We start from the raw sequence: 17,211 nt of genomic DNA, 5'->3' as shown, positions 1-17,211 counted from the left end.
AGGAAGTGATGCACAAATTTTGACCTGAGAAATGAGGGGGAGTTATACAGAAACAAAAAGGAGGAAAGAGAGGGAAGGAAGAGTATGTGCAAAGGCCAGATGCAGGAGCGAGCAGGTGAAGGCACTGAGAGAAAGTCAGTGGAAGAAATTGAATACCTTTTACTATTATGCTCTTTGATAGGTGCCTGAGGGTTGTGTAAGTAGCACTGTCTAGTACCTAGGTAGATAGATCAGGAAACCAGTAGAGAGGTCTAAGCTGGACATGGAGATTCAGAAGTCAGCAGCACACAGAGGATAACTGGAGCCATGGGAATGGAGCCAAAACTCAGGCAGAAGGTGGAAGTGGCCTCAGAAAGGGGAGAACCAGAGCAGTCTGTTGCCTGGGGGATGAGGAAGTGGAGATGGAGCGGGTGTGGAACATTCGTTCAAGAAGTTTGGCTGTGAAAATGGAAGGAAAAGGGCTGTAGCTAGACGGGGGAATCTGGGTTCAAGGGAATTTTTTCTTTTAAGATGAGGAAGAGTTTGGAGTATATTTAAATGCTGAAGAGAAAGAGCTGGGGAAGTGGGGTTGGCTGGAGATTAAAGGAGAGGGGTGGTTAAGAGAGGCATGAAGACTCCGAGGAAGGGGTCCAGAGTGTAAGGGGGCAACAGGGTAGCAGAGCGGGGCCCCTCTTGGAGTTCAGCCCACAGGTGGAGGTGGAGCTGGGTGAATATGGGCAAGAATGTGAGTCCATGGGCAGAGGTTGAGGGGAGTCTCATTGAATGGGTTCTGTTTCTTGTGAAGTCTGCAGTGAATCCATCTGCTCAAAGTCAGGGAGGATTTGGTGGGCTGGCGGTTTTCCTGTAGGAGGTTTGAAGTAGCCACTGTGGATGGTAGGAAAAGAGCAGTCTCAGGAAGCAGAGTTGTCACTGTGCGGAGGGCTTTGTCTTTTCTCTGATTATAGCCAGGGCCAGCTGCAGACACTAGAACAATATTGAATCAGTAACTTTGTTCATAATGATAACTAACTCCCCAATAGCTTAAATTTTGATTATAGTTGGTCAAATGAATTTTGAGAATTAAAAGAAAAACAACTTCCAAAAGTACTTTTTATTTTAAAATTTGTGTTATTAATAGTAATTTAAAACATTTTGTTTAAAAGTATGCTTTTTCCAAATGAAGATGTGTGAATTCTCTTGTTGGTTGGTTGGTTTTAGACGCTCATGGTAGCTTGGATCCGAGCAAACCTCTGTGTGTACATTTCTCGAGAGCTCTGGGATGACTTTCTTGGTGTGCTGTCCTCCCTCACGGAATGGGAGGAACTTATAAACGAGTGGGCCAACATTATGGACTCCTTGACAGCAGTGCTTGCAAGAACCGTTTATGGAGTTGAGATGACAAACCTACCTCTGGATAAATTAAGTGAACAAAAGGAAAAGAAGCAACGAGGCAAAGGTATTTCCACTCTTCCAGGTTAACACCAGATGTCTAGGACTGGGGACGAGTGTGTATTTGTATGACTAAGCAATTAATGCGCGAAATTTTATAATGAACTGAACCAACTACACAGTGTCTTCTTAATAGTGGCATTAATTTGTGTCTCATATCATTCTGTTCCCTTAATGAGATGGTGAATTTCTGAGGAAGCTATGCAAGAAGGAAGATGCAAGGAAGGTAGTAGTAATAGTAGTGATAACTAACAGTAATAATAATGGCTATTACATTGTACATATTATCTCTTTTTACCTTCATAATAACCTAGTGAACTGTAGATACTTGTATTATCCCCATATCACAGACAAAGAAACTGAAGTACAGAGACTTTGCAGGGATGTCCAATCCTTTGGCTTCCCCAGGCCACATTGGAAGAATTGTCTTAGGTCACACATAAAATACAGTAAAACTAACGATAGCTGATGAGCTAAAACAAAAAAAGAAATTGCAAAAAAAAAAAAAATCTCATAATGTTTTAAGAAAGTTTACGAATTTGTGTTGGTCTACACTCAAAGCCATTCTTGGCTTCATGTGGCCCATGGGTCACGGGTTGGACAAGGTTGCCTTACAGTGATTGACTCATCCAAGGCCACATAGTTAAGAAGTGTTTAGAAATCAAAGCTGGATAAATACAACTCAAGATGTCACACTATTAAGATGCATTCTACAGCCTCTCTAGGAAACGTGGAGAAATTCTGAATGCTTCAGATGGGAGCTATTTTGGCTTTGTTGTATTTCTGGGTAAAAGTTGTTTTGGGACTGAGAACCTCAAATGAAAGTTATGTTTTCAAGGTAGAAAACATCAGTGGTAGTTTCTATTAGGAATGACAATTTGGCATCCCCTTAATTACTGTGCTTAAGGATGTGGCATGGTCCTTGGATTAATTCACTTGTACTACACCTTACTCTGTAAAGATTTGAGGCAGCTCATAGAAAGGCATATAGTACAGTAGATCAAATACAAAATAGGGTCAAAATGAGTGAGGTTGCAGGGAACTGCCATTGTGATTAAAATGCCAAAATACATGCCATAGAGCCTCGTGGGCTTGCTGGGGAGATGGAAAAGTCAAACATTGGATTTGATTTTGGTCTTTGCAGGGTTACATCAAATAGAGAATCACAGAGCACATAGGGTAAAAACAATTCAATCACTTAGGTGATGCTTAGCTTTTATTAGGTCCTCCTGAGACTTGGGAGGAATTTTTCCTTCAAAGCTTCTTAAAGGGTACACACTGCTTATTGTGTAGACTACCCTTTAATAATACCAGCTGCCTTATAGACAGTATCAGTGTGCTTTTGCCATGTGACAAATCACCCCAAAACTTATGGCTTAAAATAACAACCACTTATTTATCTTGATTTGATGAGTTGGCAATTTGGGTTGGACTCAGCCAGTCAGTTCTTCTGCTGGTCTTTGCTTCTGTGTTTGCAGTCAACCACGCTGTGAAATAGTCAGCTAGGCAGCTCTACTTTTACGGGTTGACTGGCTGTCAGCAGGGGCAATGAGGTGTGACTGGGCCACGTGTTTCAGCAGCCAGAGGCTAGCTCAGGCTTGTTCACCAAGTGGCTTAGAGTTTCAGGGGCAGTAAGAGGGTAAGCTCAAATTTTCAAGTGCATTTCAAGTCTCTGCTTGTTCAGTTTTGCTACCAAGTAAGTCACGTGATGAAGCCTAATGTCATTACAGGAGAGAACAACAGAGGATGTGGATACAGGGAGGTGTGAACCAGTTACAGTGGTTAGTAAACCATATACACGTATAATAAATGTGGTGGATTCTTATATCTTCATTGAAATCTGAGAATGGCTTGCCAAAGCACTAATTAATAAAAGCAAGTTAGTAAGAAGCCAAAATAAAGTAGTTGAAGTACATGGCAATCCAGTGGAACAGTTTAATCCCAATGTAGATTTAGACTGTCTAATGCAATGATTTTCTAACATTTTTAACAGATCCGTTTTTCTTCCCGGTTGAAGGTATACACAACTCCTTTCTAAAGAAATAGACTGGAGATTTAGGATTGAAGTAGGGGCAGGGAGCCAAGAGTCTGGGCCCTTGGCGTCCATCTAGTCCTCTCTGACAGCTCTGAGGACCTTTGTGTAAACCCGGGGCCTGAGAGGACCCAGATACTTCCAACTAGGAACTTGCCTCCCTAAGACAGTCGTTCTCAGCCCAGAAGAGAACTTACCTGGCTAAGGATACCTTTCAGGCCAGAGGAGGAGAGCTGAAATAGGAGATAAGGACCTACCTTCAATTGTTGTAATCCATGCACGAGTGCACATGTGTGCATACACTACACACACACACACACACACACACACACACACGCCTGCCATTCTGCAAGATTCTCTTCCTACCCACAGATTCATCTAAAGAGACAGACTTATCTTAGGAAGGCAAACAACTTCGAAAACACTGTTTTCAAAATGTACCGAACACATTATTTAATTAGTGACCATGACTAATATTTCTGATTTATGTTGCTTTATTCTAAAAAGGATTTAAATATTTATTATAGAAACACTTGCCTTCTAAGGGCTAGACTACTAGAAACAAAAAGCACAGGCAGAGGAAACTGGGTGTGGAAACATGCCACAGGTGGCAGCCACTGGCCACATCATACCTGTGCAGAAATCTGTAAGTCTGCCATTCTCTTTCCTCCTCTATTTCTTTTGGTCCATAGCCTCTCATTGAAATAATTAACCAGAACAATATGAGGAAAAATAAAAGTTGAATCTCAGACTACAATGTTTTATTGTTTTGGACCTTTGCTAAAATAGGATTTTGTATTATTTGTAGATTTTCATTATCCTGCCCATTTGACTGAATCCACATTAGAGTTTATAGGCATGGATTGCTCTGGGGATTTGTGGAGGGGTTGGTGTCTACAGGATGCAGTACTATTCTAACATCAGGATCTCTGAGTTTTTGGTTTATAAGTAGTGGTTTTTGGAGTGTCCTGGGAACAGTAGTATAACTTCATTTGATATTGTTCTTGTATTGAGAAAGGTTTATTAATACTTTCTTTTGTATATTGGAATGAGTACTATGAAGATATAATAATATCCATAAGACTGTTTTAGATTCTTGAAAATATTTTGGCAACAAGAATTCTTAAATTAGTGACATATGAGCAACTTCCTAAATTGCAGTGTAAGGAAGTGGTACTTAATTTGTGACAAGGAAACCTGCTGATTATATATAGTTGTAGGTACACCATTTGCTGAGCAACACAAGCGTGAAATGAATAATAATGAATTCAGCCTTTAGATTATTTTTCTTTTCCTTTATCAGGCTGTGTTCTAGATCCTCAGAAAGGAACCACCGTGGGGAGGTCCTTTTCTCTCAGCTGGCGGAGCCACCCAGATGTGACCGAACCGATGCGATTTAGGAGTGCCACCACGTCTGGAGCACCGGGAGTGGAAAAGGCAAGAAATATTGTTCGCCAAAAAGCAACTGGTAAACATTTATTTAAATGCTTCTCAAAAATCTAATTGTTATCTAAAATAAATTTATAGGCATAAAGTGTGTTAAAAATTCTACTCAAAATTTAAATATTAGACCTTATATTAAATGAAATGTCTCTACATCTTTTTAGCTTTATGCTCTGGTTACTTTTCAAATCACAGTTTTCAGTTACTTATTTCTAAATCCTCCATTGTGAGAAAGAACTTGTGATGTTGATATTGAGTGAGATATTTGTGCGAAATAGAGAAAATACAGGTTTTGTTTGAACCTTGAAGAAAATAGATTGTTAATAAATACACCAGTAGTTGCACTATTGTCAGTGTTAAACAATATTAATCTTTAGAGTGTGGCAACCTGTTTCAGCAAAGAAAAGGAGAATTTCAGGACTGGATAGACATTTTCATTTTTTGCTCCTTTGGAAAATTGAGCCTTTTCATGCCTGTGGATGTTATCTTTGCAGCGTATTTCAGTTAACAACTTGACCAACAACCCCCAGTTAATTGGACTACTTTGCTACATTTTACTCTTTTTTTCTTTTCTTTTCTTTTCTTCTCTTCTCTTTTCTTTTTTTTTGAGACAGAGTCTCGCTCTGACGCCCAGGCTGAAATGCAATGGTGTGATCTCAGCTCACTGCAACCTCTGCCTTCCGGGTTCAAGCAATTTTCCTGCCTCAGCCTCCTGAGTAGCTGAGATTACAGGCGCGTGCCACGACGCCCGGCTAATTTTTGTATTTTTAGTAGAAACAGGGTTTCACCATGTTGGTCAGGCTGGTCTCGAATTCCTGACCTCGTGATCTGCCCGCCTCGGCCTCCCAAAATGCTGGGATTACAGGCGTGAGCCACTGCGCCCGCCCTACATTTTACTTTTAAAACAAAAAGTGAACTCTTTAAAAAGAAGCTTGTATACGGCATTTAATAAGAATAAATAAAGCCACCTCCTCCCCAGTGACTTTGAGCCTGTAACTTAGGTTTAAGACAATTGTAATTGATATTTAACATGTTGACTTCAGAAAGTCGCAAGATCCTCTGGCCATAAAACAAAGATTCATTAAAGCTTAACATATTCTATAGTGCTTAGTAAAGGCTTAATACAGATGGTTTAGAATCCTGTTGGAGTTTTTATGAAAATATATTCCACCTTAACTGTAACTCTCTCATACTTTTTTGCTGTAGCATTTGCTGGAAATTATCACCTTATTTACATGCACAGCCTATTCTGCTTCTTTCTTTCTTTCTGTCATTCTCTCCCCTGAGGAGAGACCCAATTCTTTGTTAGCAGGCAACTTTTGAGGATGCTCATTCACTGATTTCCTTTCTCATTCCAATTCCTAAAAACTATTTGCTTTTATCATTGGATTCTTTTTTTGTTTTGTTTTTTGAGTCGGAGTCTCATGCTGTTGTTCAGGCTGAACCGCAGTGGAGCGATCTCAGCTCATTGCAACCTCTGCCTCCCAGGTTCAAGCGATTCTCCTGCCTCAGCCTCCTGAGTAGCTGGGACTACAGGTGCGCACCACTATGCCAGGCTAATTTTTTTTTTCTTCAGTAGAGACGGGGTTTCGCCATGTTGGCCAGACTGTTCTCGTACTCCTTACCTTAGGTGATCTGCCCGTCTCTGTTTCCCAAAGTGCTGGGATTACAGGAGTGAGCTGCCATGCCCAGCTCTTCTATCATTGGATTTTTTTTTTATTTTTTATTTTTTTTGAGACAGAGTCTTAAAAAAAAGCCCAGGCTGAAGTGCAGTGGTGTGATCTTGGCTCATTGCAACCTCTACCTCCCAGGTTCAAGCGATTCTACCACCTCAGCCTCCCGAGTAGCTGGGATTACAGGCATGCACCACCATGCCCAGCTAATTTTTGTATTTTTAGTAGAGATGGGGTTTCACCATGTCGGTCAGGCTGGTCTTGAACTCCTGATCTCAGGTGATTTGCCTGTCTTGGCCTTCCAAAGTGTTGGGATTACAGGCTCCCAGCCTATTGGGAATTCGAATAGGCAAAGGGTAGGAGAAAGGGCAGTAGGGTAAAAAGTTTGTTCCGGTTTTTGCAAATGTGTTACTATCATTTGTAGTTCCATTTCATTAATGTTAACTGATGTCATATGAAAATAGTAAAGCAGCAAGTAAATCTTTATATTTTTGTTTTAGAATAAAACTGATTTTACAGATTGTGGTTTTACATATATGAAGCACGTTTTCCTCCTATGTTCATTCAATTCCTCCAATATTTATTTGACTAGCAGTATATAGAAAACATAAGAACACCGTAAAGTAGACACTTAAGATGTATGGATTTAATAAGCATGAAATGTGACATAAAAGGATGGGTTTCATGGAGATTTTACCTTTTCCTCAAATATCAAATCTTTTAATGTTCAACTTGACTTTTATGTGTTCTTGAGCTTTTTGGATATTTAATTTACTAAATGATTTGCTTTTGAATACAGTCAGCTCTCAGCAAACCAACTTCTGAATGAAGGCCAGATATGCCCTCTCTCACCATGGTCTTTTTGTATTTGTCCTTTAGGAAAGGAAAACTGATTATAATGTCTGTCCAGGCAAATAACCTGAATGTGAATCTGATACACAGCAGAAAGAAGGAAAGGCTAAACATATAAAGCATTTCAAAATAAAATTATTTGTGGATTGCCCATTGTCCTGTGTCATGAGAATGACTGACTGAAAGTTGGCTGTATTTAGAGACTACAATTAAATACTATACTTTGTACTGACTTCCTTTAAAGTTTAAAAGTTTAAATGACCTCCTTTAAATGTTTAAAGAGAGCCCAGAAAAGTAATAATAATAAAGTGAAAGGTCCTATTGTTCTTCTGACATAATTATTACTTTATCTCTCCTGGAAGCTAAGCGAAGCCAGTCTATCAGCAACTGTGTCCACCTTTCTGAGGCTTTGCCTGCCACTAAAAGCGTCCCGCTCCTCCTTCACACCGTGAGCGCTCTCTTACCTGGTCTCTCTTACTCTTCTTGCTCTCACAGGCTGTCAGGTACTGTAATACTGTCTCATGTGTCCATCACTGTTCCTGGGCTTCTCCCGCTTGCCTCTGGGCATTGCTTCCTTTGTTAATATCCCCACATCACACACGTGCCTGACCATTACACTAGTGTTAAATTGCAATGAATGCTAGTAATTGCTCTTGTGTAGTTAGATACTTAATGGCAATTAGATAGTCAAGAAAAATTTCTATAACTTTGGTCTTGGCAATAACAATTAAGAAGGATAGAAGGGTTTTTCAGTCCATAGCTATTTAATAGGGGGAAATGTGATGCCTGCCTTAGTGTGTCTTCTATACAGTGCCCATAGAAAGTAAGGGGATTTTCATAAAAGTTTTGAGAATGTCAGTATTAGAATGCTTACTATGCCTTCCAAAAAATGAATAAACTAGAAAAATGTATGTAGGCGGGATCTACTTGGAGTTAATAAATCATATATGTGAAGTAATGACCAGTTATATAGATTTATACTATTGAAATTTGAGTGCAAAAGGACCAGTGCCAAAAAGCAGTAATTTCCAAAACAAAGAAACGTTGTTCCTGTACTTCAGCCAATTAAAATTGAATTTAGCCATGTGTGATTTACACACAGTACATTTTTTATTAAGATATCATAGCACCAAAAGTCATTTTTGGCCTACTTACTTCAACAGAAGGATTTACCTTTCTCTATATTGAATAATTAGGCCTATGTCTATTTATTTTTCAGTGATTCTAGGATGAACTGAATCTTCTTCCTTAAAAGAGAAAGATCATTTTCATGATCTTTTTTATTTTCAGAAATTTGGCGTTGTAGATTAGTATTTTTTGTTGTTGTTGTTTTTGATTTTTTTGAGACAGAATCTCTCTCTGTTGCCCAGGCTGGAGTGCAGTGGCATGATCTCGGCTCACTGCAACCTCTGCTTCCCGGGTTCAAGCAGTTCTCCTGCCTCAGCCTCCCGAGTAGCTAGGACTACAGGTGTGTGCCATCACACCTGGCTAATTTTTGTATTTTTAGTAGAGATGAGGTTTCACCATGTTGGCCAGGCAGGTCTTGAACTCCTGACTTCGTGACCCACCTGCCTCAGCCTCCCAAAGATTAGTATTTTTTTTAACATTGGAGATAACCTAATTGTGGCTTTCTGTAGTACTAAACTATGTCATACTGTGTTTTAGCAAAGCAAAATGAAAGCTTACGTTCTCTGATGGCTATGTAAATACCATATTACTTTATAGAATTTAAGGGAAGAAGTTTTACCAAGAGCGAGGACTATAATGTTTCTTAGAAAACTCTTTTTCTCCAGTAACTATTAAAGGTGAAAAACAGTAAGAATGGTACATGGGAAAATGGTCACTAGTCAATTACATTACTGTTGAGTTTTAACTGCCCAATTATTTGGTTTTCAAAAAAAGCTATTGTTTGGAGATGATTAATAAAGTATTTAAAATGATTTTACCCCCTGTTTGGCTAATACACACCCCAAAAGAATTTTTTTCATGGTGAAAAGTTTTCTTATGTCACAGTCCATTTTTTTCTATATTTTGTTTCTCTTAAGTTTTTCACTAGTTTGTCCAGAACATGTTCCCACAAGAAATCTCTTCCTATTAGTAATTTAATTTTGGAAGCTTTTGTTCTCATTCAATATTACATTTTATTTTACTAAGACTCTTGGTTCCTGTATATACGTATACAGTTCCAACTGAAGTTAAATGTGATTTAGAGCAGTGATTCTCAATTGGGGACAATTTCAACAATGCCTGGAGACATTTTTAATTGTCACAAGTGGGACAGTGCTAGTGGCAGCTTGTGGATGGAAGTCAGGGATGCTGCTGAATAGTCTGCAATGCACAGGACAGCTCCCAAACAAAGAATTGTCTGGCCCAAAATACCAGCTGTGCCGAGGCTGAGAAATCCTAAGTCAGAGTGAAATCAAGTGGCCTGGGCTCGGTCTGCAGTTTTCCTGCCTTTGCCATCTTTGTTCTTGGTTTTGTAGCACAAAGGGTGAAAGAACTTTAGAGTATAGTGACTTTGAGAACAACCTGACATTCCAACTATGATAGTGAGCTTCTTAGCCTGATGCCATTGGTTCTTTACTACTTAAAATGTTGCCATTGTCCTTTATGACTGTCCTATCAAGAGACTGACCCAAGGGCAGATTGTATATTCTCCACTGGTTGGCACATTAGAGTATTGAATTTGCCCTCCAATTTAAATCCAAGTATGTAGGCATACCCCACCAACATACTGCTAGATAATATGACACTTAATTTTACTTTCTGGCACAAGCTCCTTACCCTATCAATGATTGCTAATTTTGTTTACATTTAAGTTAACATGATTGCTAATTTTGTTTACATTTAACTTTTTTTGTTTTTGTTTCTAATCTATGTGATTTAGAAACCCACCAAAATTGTTTTAATAATATAAGCAATAGACAATTACTTACTTTTAGCTACGATTGTTTGTTTTTCTGATCTTTTGGGGACTGTATTTGGCGGCAGCAGCAGAATTTTGGGTGGGTTGTTCATATTCTGGGAGGAAGAAGTGACGTTTGTATTTTGGAGTCACAACCACCTGTTTCCATTAATATGAATAGCTACATAAAGAAACACAGTTGGGGAGGTAGGACTGGCACTTTTTGTGATTTTCTTTTATTTGTTTTTTTCCCTTCGTGAGAACAGTTCTTTCCAGCTGTTCTACAGTTTTTTTGTTTGTTTGTTTTTTGTTTGTTTTTTTTTGAGATAGAGTCTTGCTTTGTACCTCAGGCTGGAGTGCACTGGTGCGATCTTGGCCCACTGCAACCTCTGCCTCCCAGGTCCCAGTTCAAGCAATTCTCCTGCTTCAGCCTCCCGAGTAGCCAGGATTACAGGCATGCCATGCACAGCTAAGTTTTTGTATTTTTAGTAGAGATAGGGTTTCACCATGTTGACCAGGCTGGTCTTGAATTCCTGAGCTTGTGATCTACCCACCTCGGCCTCCCAAAGTGCTGGAATTACAGGTGTGAGCCACCACGTCCGGTCTGTTCTACAATTTTAACTGCTTTTTAGGTTAAAACATTTATCAATCTGTAGCACTTACAGATAGTAGATTTTATTTTTCTTTTAGGAATATTGTAATAGTAGTAATGAGAGGATCAACAATCTCCCCTTATTCTAAAAAAGCATATTGGAATGGTATGGCAAACCTTGCCTCGCTGCTTCTGCATCTGGTTTGTGTGCTTCTAGGAAGTGCTTTTTTGTCAGGACCTGGTCTGATTTACCCTTGGGAAGTTTGATCTTGTGGGAAACCTCAAGATGCTGAGCTGATATGCATTTCCTATGCTTTTTATAGGATCAGATTGGTATCATGCAAGGTGTTTTAAAAATTAGGAAATTATACTATTTATTTTGCTTATGCAACCTTGTATAAGGGATAAATGGAACTCAGAATTTTGGTTATTGAAGAATGAGCCTCACTCCACTTACTAAATGTAAGACTGAGTAAGGAAGACTTAAAAAGTGAGTGAAATTGCTGTGAAAAATAGAGATCTGGAAAAAAAAATAGAAGTTACTGAAGAGCTTACACACTTAATTTGATCACACTGCCTTTTCTCAGTGGAAAAAAATGAAATTAAGTAATCCTTATTTGATCATTTTTCGGTGTTTCGAATGGAGCTTTAGAAAGTAATAGTTTAGGCCGGGCGCAGTGGCTCACTTTGTAATCCCAATACTTTGGGAGGCCAAGGCGGGTGGATCATGAGGTCAGGAGATCGAGACCACCCTGGCTAACACGGTGAAACCCCATCTTTACTAAAAATACAAAAAACTAGCCAGTTGTGTGCCTGTAGTCCCAGCTGCTTGGGAGGCTGAGGCAGGAGAATGCCATGAACTTGGGAGGTGGAGCTTGCAGTGAGTCAAGATCACGCCATTGTGCTCCAGCCTGGCCGACAGAGCGAGACTCCATCTCAAAAAAAAAAAAAAAAAAGAAAGTAATAGTTTAGTAATGGTATTGTGTAACTTACACTGTCAAGAGACGAGAAAGTTAGTGCTTTTAAAATCTGGGTAGTTGGAACTAACTAGGCTTTAGAGAGAGTACATTATTTGGTGAATCTAAGATAGAATTTAGCTCTTTGAAGTGATTTAAACAAATTGTGTGATATTCAAAATAGAAAATGCAATAGATCTAGGATGTATTATATAATTTTATTGTAACTGATATAATTCTTTCTCCATTTTAAATATCAGATAATCCTGTCTTTTGGTATTTGCATATCACTATTAAAATGATTTTCATTCGTTATGAAAGAGCAACTGCTAACAGCTAACCCCACAGAATGAGAGCAGATTTAACATAAATTGCTCTTTCTTAAATAAAATGCCAGCAGAGGGAGCCCAAGAACTATTTAAAAAGGAAAAATAGTATAAAGAAATTGTTTCTGTCATTCATGTATTCATTTATACAAAACATGTATTTAATATAAAATATGAGAAAATCCCAATAAATATACTGTTACAAATCAGGAAATTGGATTTAAATTGTGGGATAAGGAGAATTGAAAATTCTCTTTTCACACCATCTCAATTGATAGTCAACTACAGGAGTAGGTAGCTCAGGGCACCTACAACCCAACAGCACACTTAAGCATCGTGGCTCTCCCCTTCCTTCCCACTAAATCACGAGTGCTCCTGCCCTGCTACTGACCGCTATTCCTGAAGGCTTGGACTTTCTCCATCTGATACGTCCCTCCTGACAGCTTTATAAAAACAAAGCCTTAAAAGCTGCATTAGGCCAGCCTGTTGGGAAGGCAGACCAGCTGGTGGTGGCAGGCTCTCCGTCCGTCTGCTGTGTTGAGGACCAGTGGGGACGCTCTAATTTGGAAGCAATGGTGCTGTGGCTATATTGCATCCCACCAGATGGCGATGTTCTTTATCTTTAGGAAGATGCTGCCAGTGTTGGCTCAGCTCTTATTTGCTCCTGCTCATAGCCCAGAAACCAACATCTATCTGTTTTTGGCATCAGGCTTCAGAGACTAACTCTTCCCACTATCCATAAAAAATGGCATTTGCCAATTATAGTTTAGAAAGTTAGGAAGCTCTTGGGCTCCCCCTTCTGATACTGGATTAACCAGTAGATTCATTAACAAATATAAACTGTTCCCAGAAGGTTTCAACATCTTGCATAATTAGAATAAACAATTAGAGAAGACAGCCGGAAGGGCTGGCCCTATGGTGTTATTTGGCTTCTGTTGCTGAAGGCTGAAGAGACTAGAAATAGATCTGTGAGAAGGACGTAGTCTGTACTTTGGGATGTGTAAGTAGATTAAAAATGTGCACATATGCTTTGTGTTTCTCTGTAGAAAAATGAACAGTTCTTGGCTGTTCAAAAGAAGAGGAAGGCAAAGACAACCTGGGAAACATGAGGCTTTAACATAGCTGTCTTTTCTTGCTACCTTGGCCTATCTTTGCTTGTACTCCAAACAGTTTCCCACCAGCATCTGAAGTTAGACTGTGGGCTGGGCACCATGGCCCACGCCTGCAATCCCAGCACTTTGGAAGGCCGAGGTGGGCGGACTACTTGAGACCAGCCTAGGCAACATGGCAAAACCCCATCTCTGTGAAAAGACAAAAATTTTTTGGGTATAGTGGTGTGCACCAGAACTCCCAGGTACTCAGGAGGGTGAGGTGTGAGAATCAGTTGAGCCAGGGGGGTCGAGTGTGCAGTGAGCTGTGATCACACCACTGCACTCCAACCTGGCAACAGAGCAAAAAAAAAAAGTAAATTGATAAATTTTTGTAAGTGAAGGATCACACAAATTTCATAGTTTTGAGGTCTTGTAACCATATCAGCACACTATAAAATGCATTTTCATTTGGATAGAAAAAATAGCAACCTTTTGTTGAAATCCTCTGTATTAAATGTAGAATCTTCCAACATACTTCTTGCTTAAGGTGAGCCATCAGTTTGCCTTATGACTCAGATTAAAGGATTATACAGAGGGTGGCCCATTGACAGTGAGTTTCCATTTCAGGTGACAAACCAGGTGACCCAGCCAGTTAAGATAATACAGGCTGAGTTTTGATTATCCTCTTCTTAGTAGTAGTAATGAGCAAATTAAAATTTGTGGAAAATATTCTAGTTATGTGGATGTAAAGTTTCATGACTACGTCAGTGAGTGTGGAATCTAGTGAGAAACAGAGCAATGGGGCTTGCATGCAGGGCCAGGGAGCAGGTCCTGTAGGGGATATTCCCAGGGCAGCATGGTAAGGAGGGATGAGGGAGCAGGTGTGAGTTTAGCATAGGGGAGTGAACAGCAGGAAGAACAGAGTAGCAGGTGCCAACTGGGTTAGTACTACTGGAGACTAAAGTGAGCTAGAGTACCTTGCAAGGGGATCAGTATGTCCCGTGAGATCAAGGAAAGCCTGTGTTCACCCTGACTAGGATGTTTGACGAATCTCTAACAAGAGAGGGCTTTGGTGGGTTTTAAGAGGAGTGGCACAGCCAGATCTTTATTTTAGATGGACCATGGAGAGGATAAATATGAAGGTGGTAAGAAGAGAGGGACAGTGATTAGTGATTAGTTTGCAGGCTATTAAAACAACCTACGTAAAAGGTGGTGCAACCCTGAAGCTGTGACTCTAGAAAGAGAGGGTGGGGTGATAATTCCAGTGCCTTGGGTGGTCTTTAGAGATTAAAGTGTACTGTGCAGTTTAGAAATGAGCTGGGGGGAACTCATTCTATAGGGGAATATAGCTTGTAATAATACTGAGATTATCCTGTGGTCCCTACCCAGCTATGGTTTTCTATTTTATGTCTCATATATATTGGTTTTCTACAAATACCTGTGGATCATTCTGTACTTTAGAGAATAATTCAGCATTGCATTTGATGAAATAAGCCATTACATAACTATAGCATTTTATTTTGGACAGTTGGGCACTTACCTGTTAAAAAGGCATAATGCAGTAGAAATTCCCACATTTCCTTTCATCTTCCTTCAGGGTGTATGTGTGTGTGTGTGTGTGTGTGTGGTTTTCTGTTCTTCTCAAATGTACATTACCCATTCTGTGCATCTCCTGAATCTCTCTTTCCTTGGCATGCCTGGCCCTGAAATGTCAAATGACTTTTACAGTTCTTAACCTTTTATTGTGGCTTTTTTTCCTTTACTTTGATTGAAAAATAAAAGGCTTTATAGAACTTAAGTGGAAAAGGTACTCTTGGAGTAGAATATTAGGGGTTAGCAAGTGTAGGAAACTTGATCATTTAAATGCAGATTATCTGACTATAAATTATTTGTGAAAAGCATTTGAAACTTTATTTTTTAAATCGGTTGTTTTAAGTGGTGAATGTGTTTTTTAAAAACTTGAACTGTAACTTTGCATGTTTTGTTAATGCTCACAGAAGTGGAGGAGTGTCAACAGTCAGAAAATGCACCTGCAGCCGGATCTGGCCATCTCACAGTGGGACAGCAGCAGCAGGTCCTTCGGAGCAGCAGCACCTCCGACATCCCCGAGCCGCTGTGCTCAGATTCTTCTCAGGGTACATGATGTCTTCAGTGTTTAATACAGAACTATAGATTCTGGCAGAGGAATAAAAGCTGCATATAGTATTGCTTTGTACATATATTCTGAATATATTTATTTCAAGGGAATTACCTTTTTAATTTGATTAGAAGGATGTGATTTATGGCAATGAAATATTTGCACTATTTAAACCTGTTTATCTAAATTATTTTTATATATCTATATGTAGATATATACCCACTTTTTTAAAGGTTGGCATGTTTGAGGACGAGACAGGAGTCCAAGTGGCTGGAGTAGAAGGAAGACGGAGGCTGTTACAACATGAAGTCAAGTAGGGCATCAAGTTAGGTATTATGGAAGGCAGGGAGGCAGGATGGGGGCAGGGACATAGGGAAAGGGCTGTGAGAAGAGCCGTTAAAGTTGAAAATGAGAATGGAAAGCTGACCAGACTTGTGAAAAAGTTTATTAACAGCTTGCCGACTCTGCTGAGATGGAAAATAATAACTTTTAATAGCATTAATCTACACGGTTTCACCAACAACTTGCAGCAGCAACAGGGTGTGGAAAGCAGGGAGACAGATGGTTTGACCTGTAAACAGTGAAGAATAGATTTCTCAATGAAAGAGTGTGCTTAAAGTGTGTCTAGTATCATTGGAAATAGTTATTCTGTTTTGGTGTCATGAATTAGTTAAGAAATCAACTCTATTTATCAACAAGTTATCTCATATCTTTTAATGTCAAAGTCATGCTAGTCTCATCAGATGAGTAGGGAATTATTCTGTCTTAGAAATCCTCTGGAAATAAGAAAATACAGTAAAAGCTTCAGAAAATGTATTATCTGAAAGATTTTTGAAAGGTTTTGTATAAGGCTTTTTTTTTATACATATTTGGTAGAAACTACCAGTTGCCTGCATTTTTCTTGTAGGAATGTTTTAAAATATCATTTATATTTTAACATAATTTCACTTATGGAGGAGGAATAAGTTCAAGAAATGTGTTGTACAGTATGGTGACTGTAATTTGTAACAGTGTATTGTATTCTTGAAAATTGCTAAGAGAGTAGATTTTAAGTGTTCTCACCACAAAAAAGTATGTGATACATGTTAATTAGCTTAATTTAGCCGTTGCACAGTGTATACACATATTTCAAAACAATATATTATACATATTATATTAATATAATTTTTATATGTCAAGTTAAAAAATTAAAAAAGTTAAAATAAAATAGTTATAGGACTATTTAGATTTTCCATTTCTTGTTCTGACTTTGATAAATTATGTTTTTGTAGAAAAAAATTTTTTTTTTTTTTCAAATTTATTGCCCCCAGATTATTCATAAAATCCTCTTATGATCAGCTTTAGTGTTTTCAGGCTTTGTGGTGATATTCCCTTTTTTATTACTGAAACTGGTTATTTGTGCTTTCGTCAATCTTTATTCTCAAGCAATACTGAGGCACCTTACTGCTCTCTTCTTCCTGTTGGTTCATCTGGCCAACACAGGCACTTTTTCTCTGAGATACCTTCCCCAAGACCCCAGGAAGGGTTTTGTTGCCCTCCCCTGTGCGAACATAAATGCGCTAAGTGAACCTGTTGGCCACAGTGAACAGTAATCAATCCACTCTCTTCAGAGCTCTCTGTGGGCCAGAGACCAGGTCTAAAGTGTGGACTTGACCCATAGGCTGCTGTTTTGCCAGGCCCATAACTCCTGTTTTTACATACCTTAGAATATTTAAATTTAATAGTTACCTATATATAAAATCATTTTCCGGTTTTACTATCTGAAACATTCCTTCT

The 17,211-nt window shown here is 39.1% G+C and overlaps 1 protein-coding gene across 22 annotated transcripts in view, besides 2 other annotated features; it reads left to right on the top strand.

Moving 5' to 3' along the window:
* The window catches only part of RALGAPA2 (Ral GTPase activating protein catalytic subunit alpha 2), a 323,115-nt gene that overhangs the window by 106,035 nt on the left and 199,869 nt on the right, over positions 1–17,211 (top strand). For 14 of the 22 annotated variants that reach the window (XR_937111.3, XR_007067470.1, XR_001754352.2 and 11 more), the window contains 4 exons: positions 1,198–1,435; positions 4,764–4,928; positions 7,791–7,931; positions 15,296–15,433. Coding sequence is in view for 14 of the 22 variants with exons in the window: in XM_011529310.3 (XP_011527612.1) it covers positions 1,198–1,435; positions 4,764–4,928; positions 7,791–7,931; positions 15,296–15,433 (682 nt within the window). In the remaining 8 variants the exon portion in view is untranslated. Of the gene's footprint in view, positions 1–1,197; positions 1,436–1,456; positions 4,107–4,763; positions 4,929–7,790; positions 7,932–15,295; positions 15,434–17,211 lie in introns of those variants that run through there. The other 8 variants (XR_007067471.1, XR_007067473.1, XM_005260768.3 and 5 more) reach the window with 3 other exon arrangements.
* Positions 2,661–2,840: an enhancer, noted in NCBI's record as "active region_17614". NCBI's record gives its function as "activates an Ori minimal core promoter by ATAC-STARR-seq in GM12878 lymphoblastoid cells {active_cell/tissue: GM12878}" and the evidence as "EXISTENCE:reporter gene assay evidence [ECO:0000049][PMID:35858748]".
* Positions 3,031–3,110: an enhancer, noted in NCBI's record as "active region_17613". NCBI's record gives its function as "activates an Ori minimal core promoter by ATAC-STARR-seq in GM12878 lymphoblastoid cells {active_cell/tissue: GM12878}" and the evidence as "EXISTENCE:reporter gene assay evidence [ECO:0000049][PMID:35858748]".

The sequence above is a fragment of the Homo sapiens genome, chromosome 20, assembly GCF_000001405.40.
Source record: "Homo sapiens chromosome 20, GRCh38.p14 Primary Assembly".
Lineage (NCBI taxonomy): Eukaryota > Metazoa > Chordata > Mammalia > Primates > Hominidae > Homo > Homo sapiens.
This window is presented reverse-complemented; position numbering and strand designations above follow the sequence as displayed.